We start from the raw sequence: 27,892 nt of genomic DNA, 5'->3' as shown, positions 1-27,892 counted from the left end.
TTAGCTAAAACATATCAACTAAATAGAGACAGTCCTGCTCAGGCAGTCGGAGTGAATGTCACCCTGGAAAAAAACCCTGAAAACTGATCTCATGGTCACTGGGCTCCCAGAGTACTCCCTCTGAAGTTTTTCAAACCGGAGCTTTGGGAGCTCGGTTTCAAGGCTGCTCATCTCATCCCTAAAAGACAAGTGATTTTCACGATTGCTTTCTATATAGGATCTGTAGAGAGACAGCGGAGGCAAGATACCTGGAGCCGATCAGAGAAGAGATGCCCACTCTGAAATGGACACGCCTAAGGAGACATCAAAATCTTCACCAAACCCTGTCTAATAATACAGTTAAATCAATATCAGAGAATCCCTAGCTCTCTTTTGACTCAATTACTTTGTTTAGAAATGGAATTGGTGATAGATCGATTTATTTTTAAAGCCAAAGTATTTTGTGTGGGGTTTTTCTTCATGCAAGTAATGACACCAACTGAATAAAAATGCAGCGTGCTGCTAGGCAGCGTTTGCATTTTGGAAAGGAACAGAGCACAGGAAGCTGAGATACACACCTGGAGCACTTTTCCGTTCCTTTCTACCTCCTCTGGCTGCAGCTCAGCCAAGCAATATGTCCTAATACGGTTTCCTGCCCCTGACTGCACTGAGAGCTCTAGGAGACGCTGCAGGTAACTAACTGGGCCAGGCGACATTTGATTTTCATTCAACTCTGCTTCCCCAATGCAAAGCCACCGCTTTCTCCCAGTTCAGCTGAGAGCCCCCTTTTCCACGCAGAGAATATGCGTGCAGCTTTGGCCAGGCTCATGCACACACACTTTGTGTCTACACGTCTAATAAAGGACTGTCCTCACTGCGTGGTCCCCTTTGAGCTGAGCGAGAGGAACAGTCAGAATGACAGAGGCCAAAGGGGTCATAGAGGGACCTGTGTTTGTTTAGGCTTGAGGAGGTTTCGTTTTAGCATGAAACACTCAAGAATTATTCCCTCGGCCTTCCATTTGGTCTTGGAAACTGACTAAAGGTTACCAGCCCAATCCAGAAGTCCTGCGACAGGCAGAAGAGGGCATGACTTTGTTTTTGTTTGTCTTTTTTCCTATCCCAGCTCATTGGGGGGTTTTAAATCAGATCCCACTTCCCCTCTGCTTCCGAGGCCAGGCGTGAGCTAGGATGGGAGGACATGCAGTGCCTTCCCGGCAGGAAGAATGGGAAGAATGGCATCTCAGCAGGCTTTGGGACACCCCGGCTCCCCTGAGGGGTCCCTCTGGGTGCGGCCCTGGATTGAGGAAAAGGGGAGGAGGGAGGAGAAAAGGCTCCAGGGAAGAGCTGGCTCCTACCTGTGCTGGACCGGGCCTTGGGCCTGGACTTGCATCCGAAGCCGGTGGGGGAGCCGCCCAGCAGGCTGCTGGGGGGGAAGAGTCCGGAGCTGTACTCGGGCACGTAGGGCGGGTAGGTGGTGATGGGGTGGTGGGTCGACGAGGAGGCTCCACCCAGGGCGGTCATGCTGCCACGGGAGTGGGACGACTCCAGCTTCATGCTGTCGGGCAGGGGCACCTGGTACTTGAGGCACTCTTTCTCGTCCTGCCGGGCCGAGCCGGCCGAGCCTGGGGTGGACAGCGATGGGTCCGGGGAGACGTCCTTCGGCGGGGTGGGCGGGAAGGTGAAGAGGTGCGGGCTGGCGTGGCCCCCCGACAAGGAGGAGGACGAGGCCGGGGGGTAGACGGAGAGGGGCCCCGGGGAGCCGTGGTGGATGGACGTCTTGGAGAAGGGGCTGAGATTCCAGGGGGAGGCGGTGTGGTGGCTGCCCAGGGCTTTGCCGCCGTCCAGCCAGGGTAGGGATCCATGAAGCAGAGGCGGGCGGCACACCTGGCTCCCTGTGGGGCAACGGGGAAAGGGCAGGAGAGAGAAGGAGGGTGAGTGTGGCCCTGGGAGGCCGTCAGGGACACCTGGGGAATCTCTACCTCGCATCGGCCTCCTTTTCAGCAAAAGCCCGGGCTCAGGCCCACTCTCTCATCCTGGCGGTCCCCGGAGTACCTGCCTGGCACACCTGGGGGTCAGGCTGGGGACAGAATCCTTCACCCATCTCTCCCACAGGGATGTCCCATCAAATGTAGCAGAATGAAGGGCCTGTGGCTGACACCCGAGAGGTTGCTGCAGAGGGGGAGAAGGGCCCCTTTGCTTATTTGGCCTCTCCAGATACACCGCCTAAATCACATTCCCCAAGGTCTCTCTCTAGAACCTGACTTGATTTATGGGTTTCCTTCAATGGCCCTGAGTTCCCTGACTCGGACTTAATCCCAGCCAGCCTGATAAGAGAGCCGGCTGTGAGTGAGGAGGCCTGAAGGATGGAGCCCGGCCACACAACTGCTCCACACCAGAAAACGACCCTGGAGTCAGGCCCAGCTCCCAGCACCAAATACAGGAAGGAGAGGCCTTGGGACAGAAGTCAGGAGACTTTCAGGGTTAGTTTCCGGAAACCTAACCCAGTGCTTGCTCAGAAACGGCCAGGCTGCCCGCAAAAGGCCTAAAATGGGATTTGCAGGGACGTTTTCATTGCTCGGGCTGTTGGAGAAAGTTCCCAAGGCTGGACCCTGGGATGGCCATTTTCTCTGCTTTTCTCACCCTCCCAAATCCTAAAGGAGAAGGAGATAACGTAAGCCCCATGCACCCTCAATAAAGCTATGATCCCACCAGTGCCATGGGTGAATTTTCACCTGAGCCCCTAAGACACAAAATTCCAGTTGATGTGTATATTTTAAATGAAAGATGACTCAGACACAGAGTCTGATTAGCCTTCATTTAAAACGCACAATCTTAAGGTAGCTGTAACTCATACACTCTGAGGGGTACATTTAAAAAGCAAGTGCAAATCCACACACTTCTTGATCTTTAAAGCCAGTACCTGCCTCAGCATTTGACATTCGATTCAACCATTAAGAACAATACTGAAACTAAAATCTTAAGGGAGAGGAAGGGGAGGGGAGTGGAGAGGGAAAGAGAGTTCTCTGAACACCAAGGGTCAAGATTCATATTATGCAGGAAGTAGTATAGTAAATAATATTAAGTCTGCCTCTACCGCATTTCCACCTAACTGCTGATCCGCACAGAACGTGGGCAAAGAGCGCCCCATCCGCAGAAACGATTGTTTAAAACCTGGCGACAGCAGGGTAGAGGACGCCTGCTGCCGGAGGGGCTATGTCATCCGTGTCAAGGCAGGCTCTGAGTAGGGGAATCAGGGCAGAATTCGGTCTGGCTGGACTCAGAAAGCCCCACACTTTTTCTGCCCGATGTTTTACCCCTGTTTCTTCTTTAGGAACAAACTTAGAGCTGGAAAGTGTTCGATCTTTTTTCCTCAAACTACACAGGCCTGGTCTTCTTTTTTTACATTTCAGAACTCTCCTGAACTTCTCCAGGTGAAAGGGAGAAAGAGGTGGTACTGGAATTGCCTTTATTTAAACGGGGGTGTATCCTACATCTTAGGTGGGAGGCTAATGGAGGGCAGTACCCAGAGACAGAGTAAGGCAAGAGTTGCAGGCAAGGAGGCGACTTGAAAGCAAAGACGCAAGAAAATTCTGTGCAGCCGGGAATCTGGGAAATCTCAGATCCCTCAAACTTAAGACAGGGGTCTTCCCCCCCAAACCCCTTCAGCATCAGAATTCCATTCCTGAAGCCAGGAGGTAAGAGACCTGTCTAAAAACCAAAGGCACTAGCTCTGGGAAAAGGTCAAGGAGAAGGGTGTGAATAAATAGGTCTCTGGGGCCTTTCTGAAAATGTGCGAATTGAGGGACGCTGGCAGAGGGCCCCCTCCACCCCGCCCACCCGCCTAGAAAGAGCTAGCGGGTAACAGGGAACGCCAGGTTTTTTGGAAGAGCCGGGTTCCAGCCGTGCTTGTCCGGCGCCGGCTACCGGGCCCAGAGAGCCCGGACCCGCGGAGGCAGAGCCAGGGCACCCCGCGCTTGGGGACATCCCGAGACCCCCCACCCCAAAACCTGCAGCCGCGCAGAGACGGAGGGCTGCGGCCTGGCGCCCGCCAGGTGAGCGCCAGGCCCCAGGGCCACCAGCCGGGAGAGGCGCCTGCTGCGACTCTTTCAAAACACACTCTCGCGACGAGCCAGAGGCCTTCCTCGCCCATTTCCGGGCCCCAATTTTTTTGTAAATGAACCAGGAACGGCAGATGGGGGCTTTCGCTTGACCTCTCCCCGCCCTCAGGTCCCTCCCGACCTCCCCGAGCCGGGACGGCTGAAGCGGCCGGCGGGAGCCCCGGCACCCCGGGCGCACTCACCGTGGTGGGTCGGAGGGTACCTCTGCACCGTGGCCCTGACCGAGTTTCCGTAGTAGGGCGGGACGTGGTTGCCTTGACCGTCGATGTTAAAAAGCACATCCACCTCCTCCGGCAGCGGGTACTGCGCCGCGTCCATGTAGGAGTGGCTGAGGCCCGGGTGGTGCGTGTCCGGGTGCTGCCCGTTGAGCACGGCGGGGTGGTGGTGGCTCACCCAGCGCGGCTGGTCCGCCGTCACCTCCATGGCCTCGGCTGTGCTCGCGCCCTCTCGCCGGGCCCGGAACCCGCGCGCGGGGAGGGAGGGCGGTCCGCCTGGGAGGTCGGGGGGCTCCTGCCGTCGGAGGGTCGGGGGTCGTTGAATGATTTGCTTTCGGTGGGGGGATGGGAAGGCTGGGAAGCAAAGGTGAGCAAAGGAGAAGGTTTTTTAAAAATTATCTTGGAGGGGTCGTTTAGCAAAGAGAAGAAGGGGAAGACAAAAATCCAAAAACTGGGTACGGCAGAATAAAACGGGACCAGGTTGTAAAAAGGGGCGACGACTCTGCAATTCTGCGAGCCAGGCTCCTCTGCACCGGGGTCCTCAGCCGCTCGGAGGCGGAGTCCCTCCTCGGGTCACCTGCAAGGGAGAGAATGGGAGACCTGGATGAGCCCCTGAGTTGCTGGAGTGGCACAACCTCCCCTCGCGCCGCCCGCCCGCCCAGCGCACCCGAGACCCGCACGGGAGCGCGGGGACACGGCCGCGGAGCCCGCAGGGCTCTCGGGGACGTCCCTGCAGCCCGGCTCGCGGGAGCCGGGGCTGGCTGAGCAACTTGGAGGGCAAGTCCCAGGGCTGACTGTTACGACTTGGAGGGCAAGTCCCTCCCTCGGGGACACCGGTCCCGGGACCGTCCTCTCAGCCCCTAGAAAACCTCCAAAAGAGGAGAGTTGAGTTTTTAAAATTGATTTAGGTCCTCCCAAGTGGTTGGGGGCAAAAAATCAAACTTAAAAAAAAAAAAAGTCACCAGTACCAACCTGGGTAGCGAAGAGCAGAGAGGAGGAGGAGGCGGCGGCGTACGACCTGCTCGGTCAGATTGCGTTGCTCGCTCTGTCTCGCTCTCCCTCCGTCTCTCTCTCTTCTTCTCTCTCTCTCTCCCTCTCTCAGTATTTTTTTTTTTTTTTTACAGGGAATGCATTCTTTCTGAAAGTATCAAGACGGCGCCAGGCAGCTCAGTGTTCGCAGACAGCTGTGGCGCGACGCAACTTAAGGAGGTTCTAGTGTCATCCGCGCCGGGGGGGAGGAGCCTGGCGCTGGCGAGTAGGGGACAGGATCCCCGGCACAAGGAAACTGCAACCCAAACCCGCTCCAGGACTTCTCCCCCCGCCCCGCGCACCCCCGCCCCTCCTCCCGCCCCTCCACTGACCGGAAAGGGGCGCCGCAGAGGGCGGCCGCCGGCGGAGGGGCGGCGGGCAGGGTGGGCGAGGCCCGCGGGGCTTGGGGGCGGACGGGAGGGAACGCGCGCTCTGGCCCTTTAAATGTGGCCGCGGCTCCTGCCAATTCATTCGGGTCGGGTGGACGATTCCGTCCCGGTGCAGCCAGCCTGCCCCATTCATGAAGTTCATTTCGATGGGCAGAATTTTCTTTTTCAGACTTTTAAAAAATAGGCACGCATGGATCATTATTAGGATCTAATGCAGGGTGTTTGGGAGAGCGCATCGATGTGGGGAAACGTGCGCGTTAAATTGATCAGAAAAACAAAATGTTTCATGTCAAGGTATTTTGAGATTTGCCTCTCGGGCCGACTTCCTAAGAGGGTGAGTCATCGGATAAAGGGGAGATGCCTTTGACTGGAGCGTCCGCGTCAATTTTGTTGTCATTGTCACCTCTTTCCCGAGCCTTCTGCGCTCTCAAGCCCCCAGAGTGAACACGCTTCAGCTGTTGCAGCTGCCCTTTCCAGACCTAATATTTGTAATCAATGTGTGCTTTTGACTTGAGTGGCAACAGTGAGGGATGAGAAGGGGGGAGGGGAGGAAGAGACTGGCTCTAACTCATTCCCCGAGTACGCTCAGTGTAGACGGACAGAAAGAACTCGGTCTTCACTCTAGGGACCCAACTTTTCCTTTCGCCCCGCCCGGAGCCCTACTTACTCCGGCTCCCGGCGTTTCTCCCACAGTCAAGGAAACCAGCCCTCGGTCTGCACCGACCCCAACCCCGGCCTCTGGTCGGGACTCCACGGCGACCTTCCCCGGCTCGCGGGTCTCCAGGCCACGCTCTGCGCAATGGGCACCCCGGGGCGGAGGGCACGCGGCTCCGAGGCGCCCCAGCGAGAGGGGCGGGGCGAGCGGGGGCGGGGCCTGGAGGGACCAATCAGCGGGCGAGGCTGTGGCCGAGCCGCGATTGGTCCGCCCCGCGGGTTCCAACCTGCACCGCCCGCTCGGTCCTTTGAGCCACTGCATCCCCTAGCGGCGCCCGGGTGGCTGCAGCCGCTGGCCCGAAAATGCTGCTCGGGCGAGCAGGGGTCAGGCGGGAAAAGAAGACTCCAAATCCACTCTCTGCTCGCCCCCAGGGCAATGCTGCCAGGAGAGGGAGTGGGTTCCCCCGCAGGCTATCCCACCGATGGGGCTGAGAGCTTAATTTGGGGTTTTATTTGAATTGGAGACATTGTTCCCTCTTCGCTCCTCTACCCCATAAAATTCCCTACAAATGCAAAAATTCGAGATAGAAGAAGCCGTCCCTGAAAGTAAGTTCTGAAGGATTCCTTTCATGCGGTGAAGGAACAACAACAATATTCAACTTCACCTTGGTGTGTGAGGGTCGTCGTGTTTTAAAACACTATCCCTGTAGAAAGATTAGTGAAATGTATTGGAAGAAGTAGTGGAAACGTGAATCTTCCTGGTCTCGCGTTTGGATCTTCTTTGGAGTCCTCACCTTCTTAAATCTGATGTTTGTTTGAAATCAGGGCTGAATTTCCATATATAGGACAGAAAGAAAGAACCCCAATTTTTTAAAGAAAGCTCCCCCCCCCCCCGCCACGTTTCTCCTGAGCCCACTTGGTCTCCCGTTATTAGGCGGCCCAGTTAAGAGGCATCGATTTTCCTTTCATTCTCTGACCACTCGTCTCTCCTGGGCCAGCCAGGCTGCCCGCATCTTCTCCTGCTCACAGCGCTCTCTAAACCTTTTAATTATTTAGTTGCTGTCTAACATTCACCGGAAACCTCTCCATAAACAAGGAGAAACGAATGCACACGCATTTTTGCTAAGAAGCCCGGGATTAAGATTTAAGGATACAAGCTGAAAGAAAAAATGAAAAATGCTTCTCCGCGCGTCAATCGAGGGGTGGATGCGCCACGCAGCGTGAGCCCAGCTCACAGCCACGCGTAAGACCAAAAGCTGCCATGGGTTCTGCGCGCGGAGACCTCAGAGCCGAAGAGAGAAGTCCCCGCGTCAGAAACGCTGCGGATGCCAGGTCTTGAAAATGCTGACTTCTGAGGCTAAGAATTATTTCAAAGACAAAAAGAAAAGACTGGTGAGGAGGCCTTCCGGTGCAAGGGCGCCTATCCGCTAATTTTGGATGGGGAAGTAGGGATTATTCGTTTAAATTCAATCGCGAGCACCAAGTCGGACTGGCCGGGGATGGAGAAGGGCAACCCCCACCTTTAGAAAAATAAAAGATCTCGAAGGCCCTTCTTGGTCTGGGTGGTTTGAGGCTGGCAGAGAGGGGTGGGGGGCCTGGGGCTGGATGTCCCGGGTAATGGAGCCAGCCGGTAGGGGGTATTTAGCATTTAATTCCCAGCCGGCCCGCCCCAGTTCCCGGACTGACAGTGGGTAATTGGGAGAGAGGACGTTGCTCTTTTGATGGCCCGCGCCGGCCAGTCTCGCCGACGCCACACTGGGTTTGACGTCACGGGCCCAGCCCCGGAGCCCGGAGCACAGGGCAGCGGGGAAGGGAAAAGGATGGGAGGGGGATGCCGAGGAGGGAGGGCCGAGGTCGGCCTCGGGACCCACGGGGAAGGAAGGGGGAAGGGAGCGAGGCTGGAGAGGCTGCGGCGCGTGGCCTGAGGCGGAGAGCCGGGCTGCGGGGGTCCGGGCCAGGCCAGGCGCCGGCCTGACCCGCCTCGCCGGCAAGAGCAGGCCGGGCTTCCTCCTCCCTTGGCGGGCGGGGGAGGGAAAGGGGGATCCTGGCCGGGGGTAAGGGGGAAAGGTGGTCCTGATTCTCCCTGTGCCACCGCCACAAAGCTGATCCTGGCCTCCTGCGGAGAAGCCTGAGCGCCTTCCCGCAGACCTGACGCGACCCCCTCCCAGGTACCTGGGCCTCGGCCTGGTCTAGCGAGTCCCCTTCCTCCCAAGGAGCAGCCGGCGGAGCTCGGGTGGAGGAAAGCGAGGAGGCGACCAGGAGGATGCCGCCGCCGCCGCCGCAGGGCCCGGGGCTTCTGCAGGGCGCAAGGCCTCCCTCACCAGGGTAAGGGGCTGGCGATCAACCTGGACGCCTGGGACCTTGGGAGCAAGCATCCCGCAGCCGAGCAGGCGACGGCGCGGCCACCGCCTAGAGAGGAGCCGGGGCCCGGGGCGGCGTGCGGGTCGGCAGCAGCCGGCTTGGCCTATCCGAAACCCCAGGCCTGGAAGCGGCTGCTTTAGGCGTCAAGTTGAGCGGGGTATGTGTGTCCTCTTGGGAAAAAGGTGAGAAATGGAGCCGGACTTTCTCCACTCGGTAGGGGTTAAGCTACCACACACACCCCCAAACACATGCCCACGTGCAAGTCCCTCCCACCCGCCCTCCCAGGGGCGAAGAGACCCTGTCCCAGTGGAAGTGGGGAAACCCAGTCGGGTACAGAAAGCAGAGGCCATGGCGCAGAGCGGAGGCGCGGCTTTCTGGGGCTCAGCCCTAGGGCTACAGACCCAGGGCGCGGAGATGCTCGCGGCCGGGCCACCCACCAGAGCCAGGCAACCGGCGCTTCCAGGCGAGCTCCGCGGGGCCGAGGTGCCGGGAGAAGCGGCCCCGGGCGCCCGCGCGCTGCCCGACCTGGGTAACAGGCAAAGCGGAGCCCCGGGGTCGAAGTCCTAAAGTTACTAATCCCGCGGAGGGGGAGAGAGCGTGCCTCGGGCCGCCCGGGGCGGTCATTTGAGCGTGTTTACTTAAAGACTTTGCAAGCAGAGCGCGCGCGAAATCGTCGGATTTCCAGCGAGGCAGCAAATATTTGCAGGCAGAAGAAAGAAGCGGAGCCGAGCCGAGCCGCCGAGTCCCTCCCCCCGGAGCCCCGGAGCCCCGGCGCCTGCCTGGGCGGTCCCGGCCGCGCAGACAGAAAAGAAGCCGGGAATCTGCGGGGCTGGGGGGCGGGGAGCGACACCAAAGGCCAGAAACTGCAGCACGGCCCGAGGCCCTGGCGAGCTGGGCCTGGGGGAGGAGAAGTCCCTTCCCATTCCAGCTCGATCAATCTTGCTGGGCTGCGATCGGTCAATAAAAACGGTGTGAAGCGGCCGCTGTCGCTGTGAGTCTGGGGAGGAAGTGGAGGCCAAAGGTGTCGAGGCCGGCGCCAGTACCCCGCACCAGCCGGGTCCGCGGCCCCGCGGTCTGCACGTCGCAGGCCGGGGGCCAGAGCTTTGCCGGCAGCCGAGAGCGGCCCGGCGGGGCCTTTAATTGGGTGTCTCCATTTTAATAGAGGCCATTGTTGGAGCAATTAGAGAAAGACAATAACCGCCCAGAGACGTTTAATTCGATTCCCTGCGCCCGCCGCAGTACGCACCGGGGCGCTCTGGAAGAGTGGCCGAGGCTGCGCGGAAGGGAGGGTCCGCTTGGGGAGGCGCCGGCTTCTTTCCTTGCTTGCTTTGCCTTCGGTGTGGGAATTGTAAAGGGCGACTGGGGCAAGATGAAAGCGGGGCGAGGGCGACCTGAGCCAGGCCAGGGCCGGCCTCTCTAGCCCACGCCGGGCGCCCGCGGGACCGCCGCGCCTTTCGCGGCGCGCGTCCAGCTGTGGCCGCCGCGGAGGTCCCCAGCGCCTGTTCAAAGGAGAGAAGCCGGAGGACCGGGCCGTGAAAACTGGCCTCCTTCCTCCTTAGCCCCGGGTCCCCATTTCTGTCACCCGAACCATGTCCATATTTCCTTCCCTATGGTGGGAGGAGGGGCAAAGGAGAGATCCCGGGTATTGGAGCGCGCACACCTCCGTCTCCAACCCAGCCAGCCTCACCGCCCCCTCCTCCGCCTCGGCCCCTGGATTAGGTTACCCTGGCCGCGCAAGGGTTTCTACTGGATAGGACTATAGCACAGGTAAAGCTGTATAAACAGCTCGCCGGCTGCCGGGCGGGAGGGTTATGCCGGGGACACGGCTCCAGGCGCCGCCGCTGGCCCCGGCTGCGCGGGCCACACCGCGGGGAGCCCGCTGCGGCAGGGCGCCCCGGACCGCGCAGGTTAAATACATATTATCTCTGTCTCTGCCACTCGGGCCCCCGTTTTCTTTCCCTTGCGAGCTGAAATGCGGAGAGCGGGGAGCAAGACCTAAACGGGAAGAAAAGGCAGTCGGGCAGTGGGCAATACTGGTTGAGGATCCCGGCCCAGCAAGGCTGGCTCTCTTCAAACAAAACCCAGAGAGCAGGGAACTTGGGGGAAAGCAGAGAAAGAGGGACCCTAAAACTCACTGGCAATGGGAAGATGATGGAGGCGGGTGCGTCCAAGGGGCAACTCTCCTCGCGGCTCCCACGCCCACGCGCCCCGGGCCAGGAGTCTACCTTCCCCGTGAAATGAGCTATCGTTTTGGGGATGGTATGTGATTTGATTTACCCTTTTTTCTTTTCCTTCCTTTAGTTCTTTTTTCTTTTTCTTTTTTCTTTTTTTTTCTGTTTGTTTGTTTGTTTTGCTTATTCATCGATCACCGTTTAAAACTCGGAAGGAAACCCGCCCAGGCCAGGAGAGCCGCGAGCCGTGGGGAGAGTCAAAAAAGAGGAGATGCGCTGGGAGATTCCCCCCGCCCCCGCACTCCGCCCCCAGCCCGGCCCCGGCCTCCACTTCGAGGGATCCTGACCCTCCCACCGCCACTACCACCTTTTCCCCGGTTGAGAAAACCCCTGATTGTAGCGAGATAAAAATTGGGTAGGTAGGGGTGCAGCGGAAAGGGGGAGACAGGAAGGGAGAGGGCAGGGGATTTCTGCTTTCGGGTTTAACAACTCACACGTGAGGCGAGTGGCAGTTGGGGGGAGCCCCGGGTTGGGTGGGAGAGAAGGAACTCGCCTTGAGGGTGAGTGGAAAGGAATTGGAGTCACCCTGGAGGAAAAGTGCCCTTTTCAGCTCTCTCCCTCCCTCCTGGCCTTGGCAGGTGGGGGGACAGGTGGGTGCCACGGGAGGAAAAGAAGGGGTGGAGGCAGCCCAGCCGGCGTCCCTGGGTCTCCCGGGCTTTGGACATCTTACCCTGCCCCCAGTGGCATCAGTGACTCCTAGCCAGGGGCTTGCTACTTCTAGACCCGACCTCTCCTCCGTCCCAGGGGGCCGCTCAGCCACACCGCTATAGCACCCAGGACTCCGGCCCCTGCACCAAGGAAAGGCTCCAGCCTGGCAGAAATTCACCCATTTCAAGGCTTGGCCCACCAGGCCTTAGCATTGCCGGGTGAGGTGGGGTGCACGCGGTGTTCAGTCTGGCCAGTCGGAGTCACCTGCTCCACTCCCCCGGCCTGGTCACCCACATCCTCACAGCCACCCAGCTCCTGAGCCCCCTGGCCAACCACAGCCCCAACCCCCAGCGCTGGCCTCAGCCGAGTCTCCTCCGTCTGCTTCAGTTTGGCCTTTTAGGAGGAGAAGGAGGGCTTTATCTGGGGACTATTGTGTTTTGACTCATCTAGATTAGCCTAGGAGCTGGAGTGTGATTGTAGCGGGACACTCTGGCAGGGGATGTGTTCACAGCACGGATAGGAAAAGAGGGGGAGGGGGACTCCATTCAGATCTTGGAGACAGTAGAGGCGCGCTTTTAAAAGCACAAACCGTTCTTGTCTTCCTTTGGACATGCTAGAGACCACCTGGTGAAAAAAAAAATCCATGTTTGTGCCCGACTCAGAGGTGCAAAGGAGGAGGTTTGGCATGCGCACCCTTCTCCCGGCCTCCCTTGGTCCCGGACTGCCCCCTACCCGCAGCCCCTCCCTCCGGGCAGCTCAGCTCTAGGCTGCCTTCCACCTCGCGGACCCTAAGCAATTTGTTATATAAAACAAAACAGCAACCAGACGCATGTGCCTGTTCTTCACTAACGCCAGCAGACCGGCAGCGACGGATACCCGGTGGACCTCAGCCGGGACGCCTCGGGCAGCAGCTTCTTGCCCGCTGCCGCACCCACCTCTGCACCCCAGCTCGGGTCAGCCCAGCAGCCAAAGCAAAAGGGGGATTCCTCAGTTTGCTCCCTTGGAGGCTACAAAGCCTCTCTCTGGTTATTCCAACCGTTAAGTAAAAAAGAGGTGATGGGAAAGATTTGGTCTGCACACAAAGATATACCAGGAGAAGAATGCACATTTATGTGTAAAATGGCTTAGGCACCAAGAATGAGACATCACTTCAGTGCAGCCTAGAAATAGTTAAAAATAACCGAATGCTAGAGGACAGAGGTGGTTTTGGGATCTGCCCCACACTCCTTATCAGGATCCCTAATTCCCTGCCACCTCCTATGGTTCCAGGACGCAAACTGCTTTAACCTCCAGAAGAGGGGTTTTCAGCCACCTGGCTCCCACCTACCTGCCGGTTCCCCAGGCACTCTGTGTGACCCAGGGCAACTGGACAACCCAAAAGAAAACCCCTACCAAACAATGCTCAGGGCTTCCCACTCCCATCCCTTCTCTGCGCCCCTGACTGTCCCCACCTCGTTTATCTTCTGCAAGAAGGCAGGGTGTAAATGTCAAATAAAGAAAAATGCAGCTTGCCAGATCTCCTTGCTTTTGGTGGGGACAGAATAGCCCCAGTGCTGGGGCTGGCAGAGATCTCTTGTGCAGAGTGGAGGATGGGCCCGTGGATTGCAGCCGCTCCGCATTTTCTAAGCCCTGCGGCTTCTTGGGCCAGGGACTTAAGGCTTTACGGGGCAGCTGGCTGGGAGCTGCAAGCAGGGCCTCCTGCTTGATCCCACCGAAAGACTCCATAATCAGACCCCCTATGCGACCCGACACCCAATGGGGTCTTGGTCTGAACTGACACCACGCCCCGACTGGGTTCAAATGGGTAGAAAACAATTCCGTTCTTCTGAATGGCACAAACATGTCATGGTAAGCCCCTGACACACACACACACACACACACACACACACACACACACACACACTGCCAGCCATTTGGGCCCCCAAGCATCTCATTTACAGATGCCTGGATGGACTCAACCTGCCTGGCTAGACCCCCAGCCCACCCACTGCTACTACCACTACCTTCTCGGCAGCAGCCGCTAGGCAGAGGAGGCTTTGGAAATGCTACTTCAACATGGATCCCTTTAAAGTTCTTAATCTCCCATCTGCGACCCCAGCATCCTGGTGAGCATGGACAATAGGGAGGAGAGAAGGACCAGGAAATATGGGAACGAAGCCGAGGGAGATGCCGCACTTTCCCCCCTGCCCTTGCCAGAATCACCGGTGTCACTTTCCTCAGGCACCCTGTTGGTGTCCGAGAGAAAGAAAAGGCATGTAAAGCAGCTGTCCTGCCCAGATTCACTCCACTTCCTTGACATTTTAACAATATCTGTCTTCAGGGGGGAACTGCCTCTGAGTGACTTTTTGGAGGTCTGTTGGTCTGCTGTCCCGGGAGTTAAGTCCAAATCTTGTCCTCTCTGCCCCTTCCGCTTCGGATGCCCCTGGGCACCCTCTGGGGAGGCTGCGGTTTTCTCACCCACCTCAGGGTGCTCCTGGAAGCAAAGAAGCCTCCGGACCCCTAGCTTCCCGGGGGTATGCCAGATGCAGACACATCTGGGTTCCAACTTTATCTTACAGAGCAGAGCTGTTTCTTTAATTATATGCAGAGACAATGAGCCTCAACACACACCTTTAAACAGAGGAAAATAAACATGAAATTGACACTGAAGCCACCTTTAGAAGAAGGCTCCTGGGCACAGGGGTTGTTTTCCCCAATCCTCTGCCCTCCTTGCAGTGGGAAACGTGTCTCCGGCCCTTTCCAAGCATTCCCACGGGCTCTCATTCTTCCGTTGGGTTTTTCTTCACATCCCTACTTCTACCAGCTCTTTCCTGCAAACGAGGACATCCACACACTCACACACCGTACCCGCCCAAGGTCACCACAGAAACCCAGAGATTTCCAGTGACCAAAAAGAACAATAAGAACTGGGTTCTAGTTTAGTTTCTTTCAGAGGGAGTCTGCCCTTTGGAGAGGAGGCCTCCTCCTAATTCTCTCCACGTGGAGCGGGCAGAGGGAGTGCGGAGTTAGAGAGGGAAGAGAGTGATATTCACTGACCTGGGCAGCTCGCTCCCGAGGGCCAGCTGTTTTTTATTTTTTTTCCTGACTCGCCCGGAGATCTGAAGGCAGAAATGACAGGCAGAGTTCGCCACTGTGGCCGCCGCTGCCGTCCTGGCCGCTGGAACTGCTCACCGCATCTCAGGCGGGCTTCCAGCGAGAGGTAAAACCTGGGCGATGTACGTTCTTCCTGGGAGCCCCCTCCCCTCCGCCTTCTCCTGCTCACTGTAGAGAGCGGAGCTCTTCCGGGTTGCGAAGAGGGAAAGGGAGGGAGGGAAGGAGAAACAGCGAGGGAATGAATTTCACCCCCTTTTGCAAACAGGCAAACCGCACATCAGGGGTGTGTGAAACTGACAGATCTGGCGGGGGTGGGGAAAGGCGGCCTGAAATGTGACCGGCCCCTGGCGCCTGCACAGCCCGCTGTCTTCTGGCAGGGTTGGGATTAACACTATACATGTCATCAGAAGTGTTGACTAGGTCATTACCATAGGCATAAACCCATGCATGGCATTTTCCTTCCACTTTTGGGAGCATTGGGGACCCAGGGGGAGCCTGTCTTGGTCCGGCCAGTGGCATCCATTAGCAGGTCGAAGGAGTTAGGGTCTCTGCCCTCCAGGGCTCTCCCTCTCCCTTCCGACTATTTCTCCTGTTTCTGTCTATGCTGATGCCTCCAAAACGCCCCCATTCTACTTTCATCTCTCCTGAGCCGTAGTTGCCCCGTAAAAGTTAGGAGGTGCAGGATGCTGGGTGACGGGCTGCTACCCTCTGACCCTCCTCGGAGTAGGCATAAGAATATTTGGAGATGGGGTATCCTTGGGCACACATACCAGAGGTTGGGGGCACTCTCTAGGGGTCTCAATTCTTTTTAAGAAGACTTCTAGGGAAAATCTGCCTTCTAGCAGAGTGAGATAAGAAAGCAGGAATCAGAGGTCGCGCTGGAGATAAAATGTCAGAAAGAAAATGATCCCGCTGGGCCACCCATAGGGCCATGTAAACTCCAGCCCTCCCTGCAAAACCACCTCTCTCCCGTACCATCCCTACCCCTGCTGGTGAGGAGATCAAAATAATCCACGGAGAGAGAATCTGTCATGAATAAATTTCGGCAAGAGTAAAATGAAACTCCATAAACATTGGGGTAGAAAGGCCAGAGTCCATTTGTTTTGACAGGTAGAGTTTTCCCTTCACAATATTTATACAATAAGAATATGGAGACTGACTTTAAAAATAAATAAATCTTTGGGGAGAAATAAAACAAAATTTGTCTGTGGCTGGGCCAGGAAGTTAAGAAGTTTCTTGTGCTCCAACCGGTTGGGTAGGAAGAAGTTGCTATTTTCATGGGGCAAAGGGCTTGGGGGTGGCCATTTCGTGGCGGGGAGGCCGAGGCACTTGGTCCCTGGAGTCGGGAGAACTGGGGTGTGGACAGAGGTGGAGGTGGTTTGAGGGCGAACCCTCGTGGACATGGGGTTCAGAGAGCAGTTGAGCGCGATGCCCAGGCTGGGGGCGCCACTCTAGGAGCCGGGCCGCAGCTCTGCGCGGTGGGCCCTCCTGCCCTCTCCTCTGGTTCCATGGCCTGCCTCCAGACGCCAGAACCCCAAACCAGCCTCCACCCAGGCGCACCCCAGCCCGTCAGCCAACCCCTGTGCGCCTCCGCTGCACACCCTGGGGGTAGGTTTAGGCCGAGGGTCCAGGGAGAGGGATTTATGATTTGCCAAGCTGGCCAGGTCTGTCTGCCCTCTGGGGAGTCCCTAAGTCCTTCCCTCTCTGCTCCCCCGTCGTCACGAATGCAGCCCCTCCTCCACCTTCCTGCCCTGTGCCTCCCGCCTTCCGCCACCAAGTGGCAGAGCCACGTTCTTGGCGCGTTTTGAGGACCCAGGGAGAAGGCCATCTCTTGACAGCTTGCACCCAACCTGTTGCCCTGACGAACGGGGTCGGGGGGGTGGGGTCTACCTGGCCTGTCCCAGGAAGGCCCCTGCGGCTGGGAAGAGAAGTGTCGCTGGCATTCCAGACCCCCAGAGGGTCCCAACAACGCCTACTCCCTTCTGGCGCGCTGCTCCCCCCATGGGGACTAGGGCGGGGGCCCAGGGAGGGGGCATCCGTCACCAAGGCGGCGACAGTTGTCTCCTTGGCCCGGGCATTAACTGTACCTCAACTCGCCGTCCACTAGGTCGGAGGGGCCACTTGCGTCTTCCTCCAGCCTCCCTTCTCCGGCTTCTGGTCCTCATTCTCCCGCCCCTCCTTCTCCCTTCCCCGCCTTTGGCTCTCCTGCCAGGGGAAAGCCCTTTTCCCTTAGAACCTGCAGCACGCAACAGCACCCTCTGAGACCCAGGGCGGGCTCTCCTATCTCTCCTCCGTCCCCCGGGCCACCCCGGCCCTGAGCGCCGACGACCCTCTCTCCGCCTGTTTCCCGTCGATCTGGCGGCCTCGCTCCTCGTTCCTTTTCTGCTGACGCGGGCACTTGCTTTTCTCGGGTCCAAAGTGACTCCTTGATGAGGGGTTGTGAAATCTGATGGCCTACACACATCTCCCCATCACCCCAATTCTACCTTTAAGGGAAGATGCCTTGATGGAAGGAAATTTGACTGCCAAAGAGACTCAGGTTTTAAAAAGAAAATCCAAAGGGCTTAATAAAAATACAGCTGTTTTCCAATTTAATGATCAGACAGGGGCAAATGCTGCCAGCTGGACATTTCTTGCTGTCTTGATGGGCTTAGGGGTGGAAATCCTGCTGATCAGGCCGAGGTATTCCAGGAGAGTTGGGGCAGGTTTGAGGATGGGGAGGAAGTGGGGGAGGAAGGAGATAATTTATTCTGAGAAGGAAGCAAAGTGAGAAAAATCCTCCCGTCAGTAGCTTGGTCGGACTTCCTGGGCAGTAGGGCTGAAGATTTATCTCTGAGGAGTGGACATCAGGCCAGGCACACGGCAAAGATACTGCTTTAATGAAGCCCCAATTCGCTTCCTGAATTTTAAAAGCTACCACTCTGGCTCACTGATTCATGGCTCCGGTTTCTGTGCATGTAAATATACTTGGGGGTGACAGAGGGCGAGAAGAGAAGAGAGAGTAAATGACATTCTGTATACAGGGACAACTGTCTATAGCTTACACACTAAGGAGCAACGGAGCCCAGTTGCTCAGAACCCGCCCTAACCTAACATGCCTGAGGGGACAGGGGTGGCTTTGCTCCGAGGTTTTAGGACTTTCTGGGAGGGAATCTTTTCATTGAAAAGTTTTTGAGTGAGGTGCATGCCTAGAGTCCCAGCCCAGGCACGGACCCACTCACAGCCACACACAGACACGAACACCCACTGCTGGTCACCTCTTCCTCGCACCCCATGACGCTGCACCCTGCTTCCGACCTCTCTGGCTCCATTTACCCTCCCTGAAGCACCTACCACCAGCCTTGTAGCCCTTTGTCCCTGGGCGGGCGTTCATGCTTCTCAGGTGTGGATTCAGAGCTGAACCAGCTAGAGAGACGGACCAGAACCCTGGTCCTGGAGTCAGAGCTTGGCTTTGGGACTCTTCCTGAAGGCAAGCGCCTCATCCTAATTGGCACCGGCACCAGCCACTTTCAATCCTGTGGTACATCCTGAGAATTTTATGAGACCACGTTTCTAGAAGCTAAGGCATTTGATTGGATTTTAAATATAAAGGGAAGTCACCGGACATGTGGAGGTAGAAGATGGATCAGTAAATGACTGATAGATAATAGAAACAGTGTGTCCAGATCTCCACGATGGCCACATAGATATGAAGTTCACCTGTTGGATAAAGAAAAAGAGATCCTGTAGGAAGAGGTAATCAGTGGCAGAATCTCCAATCTTCCTAAGAACGTGTGGCCACATAGAGTAGCTCTGTGTAGAGCTGCAGAACCAACATATTTATTCATCCAGGTTTCCAACAACTTGTTTCTTTTCCCTAAAACAGATAATATTTTTCTTTCTGCCCATCAGTGTTCAGCGTCACCCTCCCTTTTCAATTGTTCTACCTTCCTACAAATACTCAGATTGGTTTAGTTCCTTAAAGTGCACTCCTCCACACAACAACACACACCACCGGGTTTGAAAGTTCTAATCTTCCAACTCCACTCATTGAGATTTATTTTATTATAAATATGCGTGGGGGTAGGAATTGAGAGGGCATAAAAGAGGTATCACATGGGAACAACCCAGTTTTCTGTTTCTTCTTATAAAAGAACATTTTTGTTAAACTCCCTTTCAGGACCATGACTACGACTACATTTCCGGGACCAAGAACTGTAGCCCGGGTGGGGCGGGTGGGTGATGGGGGCCTAGGTGGTCTGAAACTATGGATATCGCAAATGAAAGTTTCAAAAGCAATGACTGAAAATTAAAAAAAAAAATCAGACCTATTCCACCCAGGCGCCCTAAATAAATAGCCCCGTTTGCAAATTCCTATCAATTATTACGTGATGGGAAAAAATCCTATCTGAAAATAAAGCACGTGGACGTGGAGAATTTTAATTAAATCTTACTGTGGATATAATAACATGGAAGTGATTTTTCATTCGGCGCTTGCCTGCTCACCAGTGTTTTATGGCGTTTTCTTGCCTCTGACTTTATTTTAAAATATTAGACGAGGTGGAGAATTATAAACGACTCTTTCCTTATCTGTGCTGCTCACATATCCAGGATCAGAGGAGCTGATTAAGAAAGAAGTCAGAGGCAACGTTGGATTCATAATGATTTGGAATAATGAATCCTTATCTCTGCTTTCCAGATTATCTGCCTTTCAGCTCCCAATGTTTTGTTACATGGGATAATTTATTGCATCTAATACATCACAATGAATCTGATGGTAGAAAGTGATGGCCCATGTTGTGAAAAGGGGGCCCTTATTTTTTATCCTGGGGCAATGAAACTGCTTTTCGCAGTTTTTAATTGGGAAAATATAAGGTAGATCTGATAAAAAAAAAAAAAAAAAGCTGAGTATAATCTTGCCTGCTCGTGCTTTACCACGCTGCTCTTTAATTAGTGTGTCAATTTCAGGCTGAAATTAACAAGATCGACCTGAAACTAGTGCTTAGTTTCTCCCCAGCGTGGAGATCCTAATTTTTAACATGATTTATTTTTATGAAAAAGGAGATAATTAATCATAAACACTGACTAAAGCACAGGGCCAAGTTAAAATAAAATGCCATTTGCATCTTTATATAGAAAGATACCAATAATGTTAATTTTTCTGAGATGTTCTCTCTCCTCACCAGAGCTCGCCCCCCCAACAGCTCCCACCCTAACTGCTGCCCACTCCAGCCCCATTCCAAGTAAACAAGAAAAAAAAAATCAATTCCTGGTTCCTCTCCATGTTTATTGCTCTTTTTTATAAAAGTATGCATGTGTGTGTGTGTGTGTGTGTGTGTGTGTGTGTGTGTTATATATATATGTATATATATATCCTGGCTTTGTCTGTTAACACTGGCGGAATATGCATAGGTTTCCTCTAATTAGATCACAAGGGTGGGAGGGTGCTCCTAGACCCCACCCCACACCTAACCTCATCAACTTCCCTCCATTTTTGAGTTAGAGAGAAGAGGATACACATCTCATTTAATGGTTAATTAAGTCCAATAATTGGCATTTTTGTTTCTTTTGTCTTTTACCCTAACGCCGAAGGAACAAAAGCCACCTCAACGCAACAGGCTTTACTGGCTGCCTCTTACAGGATGGATTTCAGAATCCAAGGCTGTACGGGGAGTCCCCTCCCAACCACTGACAGCACCAGAATCTCCCGGCTTCAGGAAGTGGAAGGGGCAGGAGTCATTGGTAATTTGCTCTTTAAGCTTTTTGTGCCTGTTGATTACTTTCTGGTTGCTTGGATTAAACAATCGTTGCAAATATGCAAAACAGTGAGAGGAGATTCATACATATTCGTTCTCCAATTGTTCCTCCTGACGTCAGATCATAATTTCCTGGTAATTGGATGGCTTGCACCGACTAATGCTCTCGTCTGAAATTCTCCACCTTTCCCTAGCTTGCAGCAGATTTTGTACCGGGAGATGGGATGAGGACTTTTTTTTTAAGAATTATTTTCTGTTCACTGTAGTTCCCGTTGTCTCCCTTCTTCCCTATACTTAAGAACATTTATTCCTGAAGTGTGAGGATCTGGAGTTTATTTCCTGGGAGTGTCATTTCCCAGATAGTTCTTGAGTAGTTTGAAGAAGGTTGAAATGGGCCAGTAAAGATGGAGGAAATGGGTCTGGTAAGGGCAGAGGCAGAGGTGAGGTTCCATAGAGCAAAGCACCCTGCCTTCCCTCTGCTTGGGTCCAAAAGAGCAGCCTGGAGTGGTCACACCCGTCAGCCACGCAGTTTTCCTCCCCTGGGGTAACCTAGGTTTCTCATTTAAGTAACTCATGAGTTGAGTTCAAATCTCAACTCCTGACCCTGTCCTACACTCTCAAGCTAAGTAGGCAGCCAAATAATTATCGATTTATTTTTTTTTTAAAGCTTGAATCTTGATCAGAAAGATATTTCAGGTTTTAGGTGGTGGTAGAGGGAGACCCAGAAAATATCCCAGATTTTCTGGGATATTTTTTCCTTTGTCTTCCAGTTCGTTCTGGCCTCAGCACAGTGGACTTCAGACTTCAGATTGCAATTCTATATTCAATAATGTGTGACTTCCCTCTTCTTCCGCTCTCTTCTTTTCTCCCCTTCCCTCTCCCTTTTCCCCGATTCCTCTCTTCCGTCTCTGTATGACACATCGCTCCAAGAATTTCAAGTATCAATTATAAGTAATATTAATTTCTCAGCCCCAACCAGTGAAGTGCGGATGATCTGATAGGAGCATAAAAACGGTGCTTCCCTAGATGAAACAGACCAATGGAGCCTACTGGGCCGTTTCCCATGCCCAGATGAACATTCAATTTTCCGGCATTATCTCCGCACTTAAACTCGCTTTCTCCATTTCTGTGCCAAGATAAATTTGCATAATATTTGCAGCTGTAATTAGCTGATGAGCATCTCCCAGCCTCCCCCTTTTGTTTCCCCCTGCATTTGGTCTTCCATTGATGCTACGTTTGATCTTTAATATCACAGGATTCCCGATAGAGGATTGCATATCTTATCTTCCCGGCTCCAAAATCTTTTAAGAAGGAGAGAGAAAGGGAGAGAGGGGGCTTGGGGGAAAAGCGTGAGTGAAGAGAATGAAGCTTCTACTAATCAGAGTTTGGAAAGGTTACATTGGAAGAAGCTATGGGGAATGACAGAACAAATAAGATAAATGAAAAGGAGGGTGGAGTGGGGCTGGGAGAGGCTGGACCAGCCTTTTGGAATGAGAGAGACTGGGATAAGCATGTTATTATTTAGAGACTGCGGGAGTGGGGTTAAGGGCGATTGGGAGCAGGGACTGGACAGTGAACAGATGAGGGTGTGGGAAGTGGGGCTTGTCGCCAGCCTCAACTGCGGGACCAGCCTCCCTTTCCGGAGCAGCATAACTGCCACGCTCTGAGTGAGACGTCTCTGTCCTTTGCTCCCTTTAAGCAGAAACTGGAACTTTTGAAACCAGGTGACTACCTTATCTGCTCATCTGTTTGTCTCTCGTTAATAGAGAGCACAGCACTCCTGAATTCCTAATATGTTACGGACACTTTTCATTCTCTCTAGCCCAGTTAAAAGAAATAACCGCCCACCCGCCCCCCCCCCCAAAAAAAAGTAGGAGAAGAGAAAAAGAAAAACGATACAAGGAACTGAAGAAGAGGAGGCAGCGAGTAGGTGGCAGATGAATGGTGTCGCCTCCAGGAGTGGAGCAAAACCAGAAGAGGTTCCCCCCATTGCCCCTTCCCCGCGGCCCCGGCCCCGGCCGGATTGTCACTGTTGTTTTCTTATTTTTCTCCAGATCGGGAGTTTTTCGGACTTGGGTGGCGCCTGGTAGGAGGGGAAGGCGCAGTGGAGGGGCCACTGGTTGGATTAGTATTTGTGGGAATCCGGAGGGGGAGAGGGAGAAAGGAAAGGAAAGAGGGAGAAGGAGGAAAAAAAGAAGACAAGAAAGAGTCGATTTTCATGCCAATCATTGGAACAAATAGCTAACATTTAACGTTTACACCCGCACTGGCGGCGCCCTGGCGCTCCGCGGACCCGGAGCCGGGCTAAAATGTCCCGAAAGCCTTTGGAGAAAACGAGTTTCCAGCTATCAGGTTCTCCCCGTCTCCCCCCTTTCAAGAGGCTTCGGTTTCAGGCTGGACTTGTCCAATGTCTACGTTACCGCTGCGAGCTCCTAAATGAGTGTCAAGGAGGCAAATATCAAATAGCGCCGGGGTCAGGGCGATTGAGTTAACCATTGGGGCCTCAAGACTGGAAACCTGTGTGAGACTCCTCGGGGAAGGGGAGGCGTCGGAGGGAGGGCGAAGGAATAAATGAATGAATGAATAAAGTGGCAGAGGGGAGCGCTGGACACCCGGAGAAGAGGGCCCAGGCTAAGCTGGCCTCAGCCCCAAGCCAGCCCCCTCCTCCAGTCCTGGCCCCTCCCTGGGCAAACTTAAGGCTCTCAGTCTGAGAAAAGTTTCCTTAAAACTTTTTTTGCTGTCTTTTAAATAGGACCAATTTTCCCAACCGAAGTTTAGAAAATTGGGCTCTAACCTCGTCCCTGTCAATGGGTGGTTAGTAATTTCGTCATCTCCAGGCTTCAGTTTCCCCATCTGCTAATGGAGAGAATTGGACAAGAAGATGGCGAGGTCTCTTCCTTTTGGGAAAAAGAGCAGGCTGTGGGCTTTGGCAGGAAATAGGGAGTGCGGGTTCTGCTGCCCCGACCCCTGTCACCCCGGGCACCTGGTGCCACCCCTAGCCTGGCCCTCGGGGGCTGGCCAGAAACCCGGGCAGAGAGAGCCGCTGAGCTTCCCCACCTCCAGCTGAACCCCAGTGCTCAGCAGATGGGACCCAGTGGTTATCCCGGGGTCACCCCCCAGGGAGGCCCCCTTTCCCCTATTCCAGCAGACCCAGGTACTTTTGCGTCCCTTCCAGGGTCTTGTGCTTCTCAAGTATTTCCAAGAGAACCATCTCTCTCTTTTTGGGGGGCTGGAAAAGGGGGAGACCCTCTCTTGGGGTGGGTGGGGGGGAAGCGGATTGAGGTTTATGTCAAAATTCCTGACTCAAGCGCCGGAGCGGAAGTCCAAGCGGACTCAGCCGAGCGGAGGGGGTCACTGAGCCGCACCACAGGCGTGTTTGAAATCGATTAACTAAAGCCCGCTTCTTCGCGCTGTAAGGTCTTCTTTTTTTTCTTTATTGTTGAGACCCCCATGTCACGTGTGCAAAGTCTGCGTGCTTGGGCGTGTGTGTTGGCTGGGGGGGCAGTTGTGTTACAACCTGGGGGAGGGGTGTGCACCAGGTTCGATTTATTTCCCCAGCGCTGAGCGGAACATCGAGACAACCAAGGCAGGGGACAGCCTACAGGATTTGCTGCCAAGGCGGCTGCTGAGTCCTCCGGGCCCAGGACCGGCCCCTCACTGTCCTTCCTCACCCCCTCTCCCCGCACCTTCCGCGCCCCCGGGGCGCAGCTCTAGGCCCCTTTAGGGCCGAGCAACGGGCGCGTGCCCCGCAGTTGGGTGCCGGGGAGGAGACGGGCAGCGGAACAGGGGTCCCCCCGGGAGGCAGGAGGGACCTCAGGGAGGGACCGAGACGGGCGCAAGAGCGAGGTGCCCAGACGTGCTGGGCTGGGGTGGGGACTCCTGTGTCCTTAAATACCCCTCCTTTTTGTGATCCCTTCCCTCCCTCAGTGTAATTCTCAATGATAGTCATGAAGAATAATCACGATGATACTTTCCCCGTCTTTCTCAAATGAAAAAAAGAGAGAGAGGAAAAAAAATACGCACCCAACTCCACTACCATGCGGGTTCCGGAGAAATTCTCAAATAGAGCAGTGTAATTTCTCAGTTGATTTTGATTGACACACTGTCCCTGGGATCATGTGTTAATCCCTTCTTCACTCAAGCCTTTTCATAACTCATTTCTCTCTTGCTAGATGGGGACTCTGATGGTTACCGAGGCAACGATGATAGCACTAAGCTATTTCCCTCTCTGCAAGGAGACCATTATTCCGCATGCATAGGCCATTTGCAACAGAGGTCGTCACAAAGTCATCCACAACACAGCACACGTTTATTAAACTTTTATTCGCTTTTTTCCCCCAACACAGAAACTAGTTTGCACTTGTACGGGGGGGTGCGGGGTATCGTTGTCCTGCTCTGTGTTGGTAAGGATTGCCCTGAGTGTCACGGTCATTGACACAGCGACACAGCAGGCGCGAGGACCACGGGTCTCTCCACTGCCCGATCCGCCCGTCGGGGTCTTCTCTGACCACCTCGGGATGGCTGGGACCTTCGGGATGAGAAGAGGCGGTGGCCACGTCTGTGGTCAGAAGGGACCCCGGCTCCCAGGCCGCGCCAACTCTGCTGCGCAGGACTTGGTGACCCACGCCCCTTTCCTGGCGTACCTTCTGAAATAAAGCCTTTTGTCCCACTTCCTCAGAGGCCACCCCCCAACCCTCCCGCAACGCCGTTTTTCCCCGACCCTGCTTCGGATCTGCCGCCCACCCCCACCCCCGCCGACGCCAAGGCCCTCCCCGGGCGCCCGCGGATGCCAGGCCGGGTCCCGAGGCGCCGCCCGGCCGCGCTGGCAGCCCTGGCTCCGCAGAAAGCCACCTGCCGGGATCGCGCGGTTCTTAGGTTTCTTTGCCCAGTTTGTCCAGGAAACAGGGCCTGCTGGTGCGGGCAGGTTCCTAGGAAGCGGATGGATGTGGTCCTCGGCTTCTCTGCGGAGGGTTGGGGCGGGAGGGTGTGGGGGAGGGGTGGGTTCCCGGAACATCTGGGGACAGTCAACCAAGAGCTTGCCAGGAGGCCCGTCTGAAAGCGAACATGGCAGACTCGATTCCCGGCCTGCAAGGCCACCAAAACCAAAGGGCAGTTATGGACATAGGCCACTGGTGGCCGAGGCCCCTATTTCCCCTCCAGCTTCCCTCAGTCGCCCGCACTCCCTTTTCAATTTCTTTCCTTCCACACCCTCCGCCGCCCCCGTCTTTGTTTTTTATGGGAGCAGAGGACCCCCTGGGGCTCTGGGGCGCAGCCCAGGCCCCTCCGCCTCTGTGAACTTGACCCGGGAGGGTCCCCCTCGTGCCAGAGCCCCGCCCCCAGGGACCGCCTTCGACGCCGCTGCGGCCCCCGGAGCGCCCTGCTGTCGCGTCGTCTCGCAGCCAGGGGCACGACCTCTCCGGGCCACCCCGGTCGCTTGTCTGTGTGCCACCCGCAAGCCAGGACCAAGACGCGGAGCTGGCTGGGGCTCCGCAGAGACCGACTGGGACCGGAGCTGGGCTGGCCTAGATGTGTGGCGCTGTAGAGATGCGAACTGGGCTCCTAGGTGGCAGGTGGAAGGACTCCTGAGAGCTCCCGGGATCAGCCTCCCTCCCTAAGCCCGGGACTGTCCGTCGCCTAGGCTGTCGTGACCCCGCAGGCGGAGGGGATACCACGTGCCCAGGGCGATCCCATCCTGGTCCTACTCCAAGAGCGTGGGAACCCTGAGTTCCGCCATAGAAACGAAGTTGGCTGCCAGCTGGGAACTCACTTGGCTCAGAAGAGCCGGGGGTAGGTCCCCAGGGCCTCCTTCTCGGCGCCCCACCCCAGAGGCAGTGGCCTAGAGCAGGGGAGTTGGGAGGGAAAGGAAGCCGGCGAGCCTTGCCCTGGGAGTCAGCTGGCTGCTCTCTTTCCCACATCAACAACCGTTCCCGTGAAAATAAACCAGAAAACAACGCATCGCCTTGGGGTGCCGGTGTCTAGAGCCTCCAGATCAGGCAGGGCCAGGCAGAGAGGGCAGATGCGTGGTGCTGGCTGCACTGGTGGGTGCAGGGACTAGTGGGGTGTGTTGGTGTCTGACTCAGCTTTCTTAAAAGAAGCCCCCAAGCCCCTGGAGTACAGGTTGAGAGCTGGATGTGGGACCAGGAGGAAGCAGAAAGAGTTGGCTGCTGGTGTTCGGAGGGTCAGAGCAATGTCAAGTTCCTAACTGCTGTTGACACGGTCTAAGACAGAGGGTGGAGACCTGGGTCTGGGTGAGTGTGGCCTTTGGAGAGAGGCTATAGATCTAGGAGGGTGTTGGGGGTGTCCCCACCATGCTGTCCAATGGAATTTAAGCTTATAGGTGAATGGAGGTAAAGCTAGAATTTTTTTTTTTTTTTTTTTTTGAGACAGGCTGGAGTGCAATGGTTCAATCTCGGCTCACCACAACATCCGCTTCCCGGGTTCAAGCAGTCCTCCTGTCTCAGCCTCCTGAGTAACTGGGATTACAGGCGCATGCCACCACGCCCAGCTAATTTTTGTATTTTTAGTAAGGACCAGGTTTCATCACATTGGTCAGGCTGGTCTCGAACTCCTGACCTCAGGTGATCTGCCCACCTCAGCCTCCCAAAGTGCTGGGATTACAGGTGTGAGTCATCGCGCCCGGCCAAAATAGAAATATTAGGACTCTGGTCGCCTGGAGTCTTTCCTGTCAGCTTTAGATCTGATCAATCTGCATTTTGTGAGGTTTTTTTGTTGTTGTTAGTTTGTCCTGCTTTGTTTTGTTTGAGACAGGGTCTTGCTCTGTGGCTCAGGCTGGACCAGTGGCACAATCATGGCTCACTGCAGCCTCAACTTCCTAGGGTCAAGCAATTCTCCCACCTCAGCTTCTTGAGTAGCTGGGACTTACAGGTATACGCCACCACGGCCTGGCTAATATTTTTTATTTTTAACATTTTTTGTAGCGATGGGATCTTGCTATGTTGCCCAGGCTCATCTTGAACTCCTGGCCTCAGCCTACCGAAGTGCTGGGATTACAGGCATGACCCACCAAGCTCGACCAGAGCCAAATGTCTTAAATACAGGTCTCTCCTCTGTTAATATATTCATGACAGAAAACATGTCTGGCTTTCGGCCAGATGAGAAGATTTCAGCTCTCTCTCCTCCCATGTGCACCAAAGAAAATATCGAAGTGCTGGGATTACAGTGTAAGCCACCATGCCAGGCCTGCGTTTTGTGTTAAGGCACCATATGCCACGTGATCCTTCACCAAACTTAGTTATAATCTCGGGAAAACAAACTGATGGAAATTCTGTCTTACAAGAAAAGACCACCCAAATTACTGGAAGCTTAGGCACTTGCACCAAAAGGCATAATCATATATACATATATAAAAGTGCTGGGATTACAGGCGTGAGCCACCATGCTTGGACAATCATATTATTATAGAACGACAGTAACTGTATT

General features: G+C 55.0%; 1 protein-coding gene and 2 long non-coding RNA genes across 31 annotated transcripts in view, besides 12 other annotated features; 1 reads left to right on the top strand and 2 right to left on the bottom strand.

Annotated features, from left to right (window-relative positions):
* GATA3 (GATA binding protein 3) overlaps positions 1-14,843 on the bottom strand; it is a 29,866-nt gene extending 15,023 nt beyond the window's left edge. For 5 of the 24 annotated variants that reach the window (NM_001002295.2, NM_001441131.1, NM_002051.3 and 2 more), the window contains exons 1-3: positions 5,285-5,488; positions 4,280-4,889; positions 1,335-1,871 (exon numbers count right to left, since the gene is read on the bottom strand). In NM_001002295.2, coding sequence (NP_001002295.1) covers positions 1,335-1,871; positions 4,280-4,520 — 778 coding nt within the window. In that variant the 5' untranslated portion in view covers positions 4,521-4,889; positions 5,285-5,488. Of the gene's footprint in view, positions 1-1,334; positions 1,872-4,279; positions 4,890-5,284; positions 5,489-6,397; positions 7,742-8,556; positions 8,941-9,991; positions 10,323-14,234; positions 14,435-14,660 lie in introns of those variants that run through there. The other 19 variants (NM_001441115.1, NM_001441129.1, NM_001441124.1 and 16 more) reach the window with 10 other exon arrangements.
* Positions 4,259-4,338: a silencer, noted in NCBI's record as "silent region_2118". NCBI's record gives its function as "represses an Ori minimal core promoter by ATAC-STARR-seq in GM12878 lymphoblastoid cells {active_cell/tissue: GM12878}" and the evidence as "EXISTENCE:reporter gene assay evidence [ECO:0000049][PMID:35858748]".
* Positions 5,571-5,630: a silencer, noted in NCBI's record as "silent region_2117". NCBI's record gives its function as "represses an Ori minimal core promoter by ATAC-STARR-seq in GM12878 lymphoblastoid cells {active_cell/tissue: GM12878}" and the evidence as "EXISTENCE:reporter gene assay evidence [ECO:0000049][PMID:35858748]".
* Positions 6,473-6,602: a silencer, noted in NCBI's record as "silent region_2116". NCBI's record gives its function as "represses an Ori minimal core promoter by ATAC-STARR-seq in GM12878 lymphoblastoid cells {active_cell/tissue: GM12878}" and the evidence as "EXISTENCE:reporter gene assay evidence [ECO:0000049][PMID:35858748]".
* Positions 6,623-6,672: a silencer, noted in NCBI's record as "silent region_2115". NCBI's record gives its function as "represses an Ori minimal core promoter by ATAC-STARR-seq in GM12878 lymphoblastoid cells {active_cell/tissue: GM12878}" and the evidence as "EXISTENCE:reporter gene assay evidence [ECO:0000049][PMID:35858748]".
* GATA3-AS1 (GATA3 antisense RNA 1) lies at positions 6,692-9,726 on the top strand. 6 transcript variants are annotated; one of them, NR_104328.1, is made up of 3 exons: positions 7,681-7,776; positions 8,598-8,902; positions 9,452-9,700. It is a non-coding gene; the product is annotated as a GATA3 antisense RNA 1 (long non-coding RNA). The 6 variants fall into 6 exon arrangements; NR_104330.1 differs by having other exon boundaries at positions 8,598-8,927; NR_104329.1 differs by having other exon boundaries at positions 7,685-7,829; positions 8,598-8,995; positions 9,626-9,700.
* Positions 7,941-8,784: an enhancer, noted in NCBI's record as "NANOG-H3K27ac-H3K4me1 hESC enhancer chr10:8093355-8094198 (GRCh37/hg19 assembly coordinates)". NCBI's record gives its function as "activates a minimal SCP1, AML or CMV promoter by ChIP-STARR-seq in naive H9 embryonic stem cells {active_cell/tissue: H9 hESC(naive)}" and the evidence as "EXISTENCE:reporter gene assay evidence [ECO:0000049][PMID:30033119]".
* Positions 8,785-9,628: an enhancer, noted in NCBI's record as "OCT4-NANOG-H3K27ac-H3K4me1 hESC enhancer chr10:8092511-8093354 (GRCh37/hg19 assembly coordinates)". NCBI's record gives its function as "activates a minimal SCP1, AML or CMV promoter by ChIP-STARR-seq in naive H9 embryonic stem cells {active_cell/tissue: H9 hESC(naive)}" and the evidence as "EXISTENCE:reporter gene assay evidence [ECO:0000049][PMID:30033119]".
* Positions 9,629-10,472: an enhancer, noted in NCBI's record as "OCT4-NANOG-H3K27ac-H3K4me1 hESC enhancer chr10:8091667-8092510 (GRCh37/hg19 assembly coordinates)". NCBI's record gives its function as "activates a minimal SCP1, AML or CMV promoter by ChIP-STARR-seq in primed H9 embryonic stem cells {active_cell/tissue: H9 hESC(primed)}" and the evidence as "EXISTENCE:reporter gene assay evidence [ECO:0000049][PMID:30033119]".
* Positions 11,669-11,718: an enhancer, noted in NCBI's record as "active region_2983". NCBI's record gives its function as "activates an Ori minimal core promoter by ATAC-STARR-seq in GM12878 lymphoblastoid cells {active_cell/tissue: GM12878}" and the evidence as "EXISTENCE:reporter gene assay evidence [ECO:0000049][PMID:35858748]".
* Positions 14,379-14,921: an enhancer, noted in NCBI's record as "H3K4me1 hESC enhancer chr10:8087218-8087760 (GRCh37/hg19 assembly coordinates)". NCBI's record gives its function as "activates a minimal SCP1, AML or CMV promoter by ChIP-STARR-seq in naive H9 embryonic stem cells {active_cell/tissue: H9 hESC(naive)}" and the evidence as "EXISTENCE:reporter gene assay evidence [ECO:0000049][PMID:30033119]".
* Positions 14,922-15,465: an enhancer, noted in NCBI's record as "H3K4me1 hESC enhancer chr10:8086674-8087217 (GRCh37/hg19 assembly coordinates)". NCBI's record gives its function as "activates a minimal SCP1, AML or CMV promoter by ChIP-STARR-seq in naive H9 embryonic stem cells {active_cell/tissue: H9 hESC(naive)}" and the evidence as "EXISTENCE:reporter gene assay evidence [ECO:0000049][PMID:30033119]".
* Positions 15,711-16,462: an enhancer, noted in NCBI's record as "H3K27ac-H3K4me1 hESC enhancer chr10:8085677-8086428 (GRCh37/hg19 assembly coordinates)". NCBI's record gives its function as "activates a minimal SCP1, AML or CMV promoter by ChIP-STARR-seq in naive H9 embryonic stem cells {active_cell/tissue: H9 hESC(naive)}" and the evidence as "EXISTENCE:reporter gene assay evidence [ECO:0000049][PMID:30033119]".
* Positions 16,463-17,214: an enhancer, noted in NCBI's record as "H3K27ac-H3K4me1 hESC enhancer chr10:8084925-8085676 (GRCh37/hg19 assembly coordinates)". NCBI's record gives its function as "activates a minimal SCP1, AML or CMV promoter by ChIP-STARR-seq in naive H9 embryonic stem cells {active_cell/tissue: H9 hESC(naive)}" and the evidence as "EXISTENCE:reporter gene assay evidence [ECO:0000049][PMID:30033119]".
* Positions 17,292-24,581, bottom strand: LOC105376394 (uncharacterized). The gene is made up of 3 exons (XR_930635.3): positions 24,476-24,581; positions 18,051-18,416; positions 17,292-17,683 (listed from the first exon to the last, which is right to left on the bottom strand). It is a non-coding gene; the product is annotated as an uncharacterized LOC105376394 (long non-coding RNA).
* Positions 24,582-27,892: the final 3,311 nt, after the last annotated feature.

Source organism: Homo sapiens, chromosome 10 (genome assembly GCF_000001405.40).
Source record: "Homo sapiens chromosome 10, GRCh38.p14 Primary Assembly".
Lineage (NCBI taxonomy): Eukaryota > Metazoa > Chordata > Mammalia > Primates > Hominidae > Homo > Homo sapiens.
The sequence above is the reverse complement of the archived record's forward strand: the minus strand, read 5'-3'. Positions and strand labels throughout refer to the sequence as shown.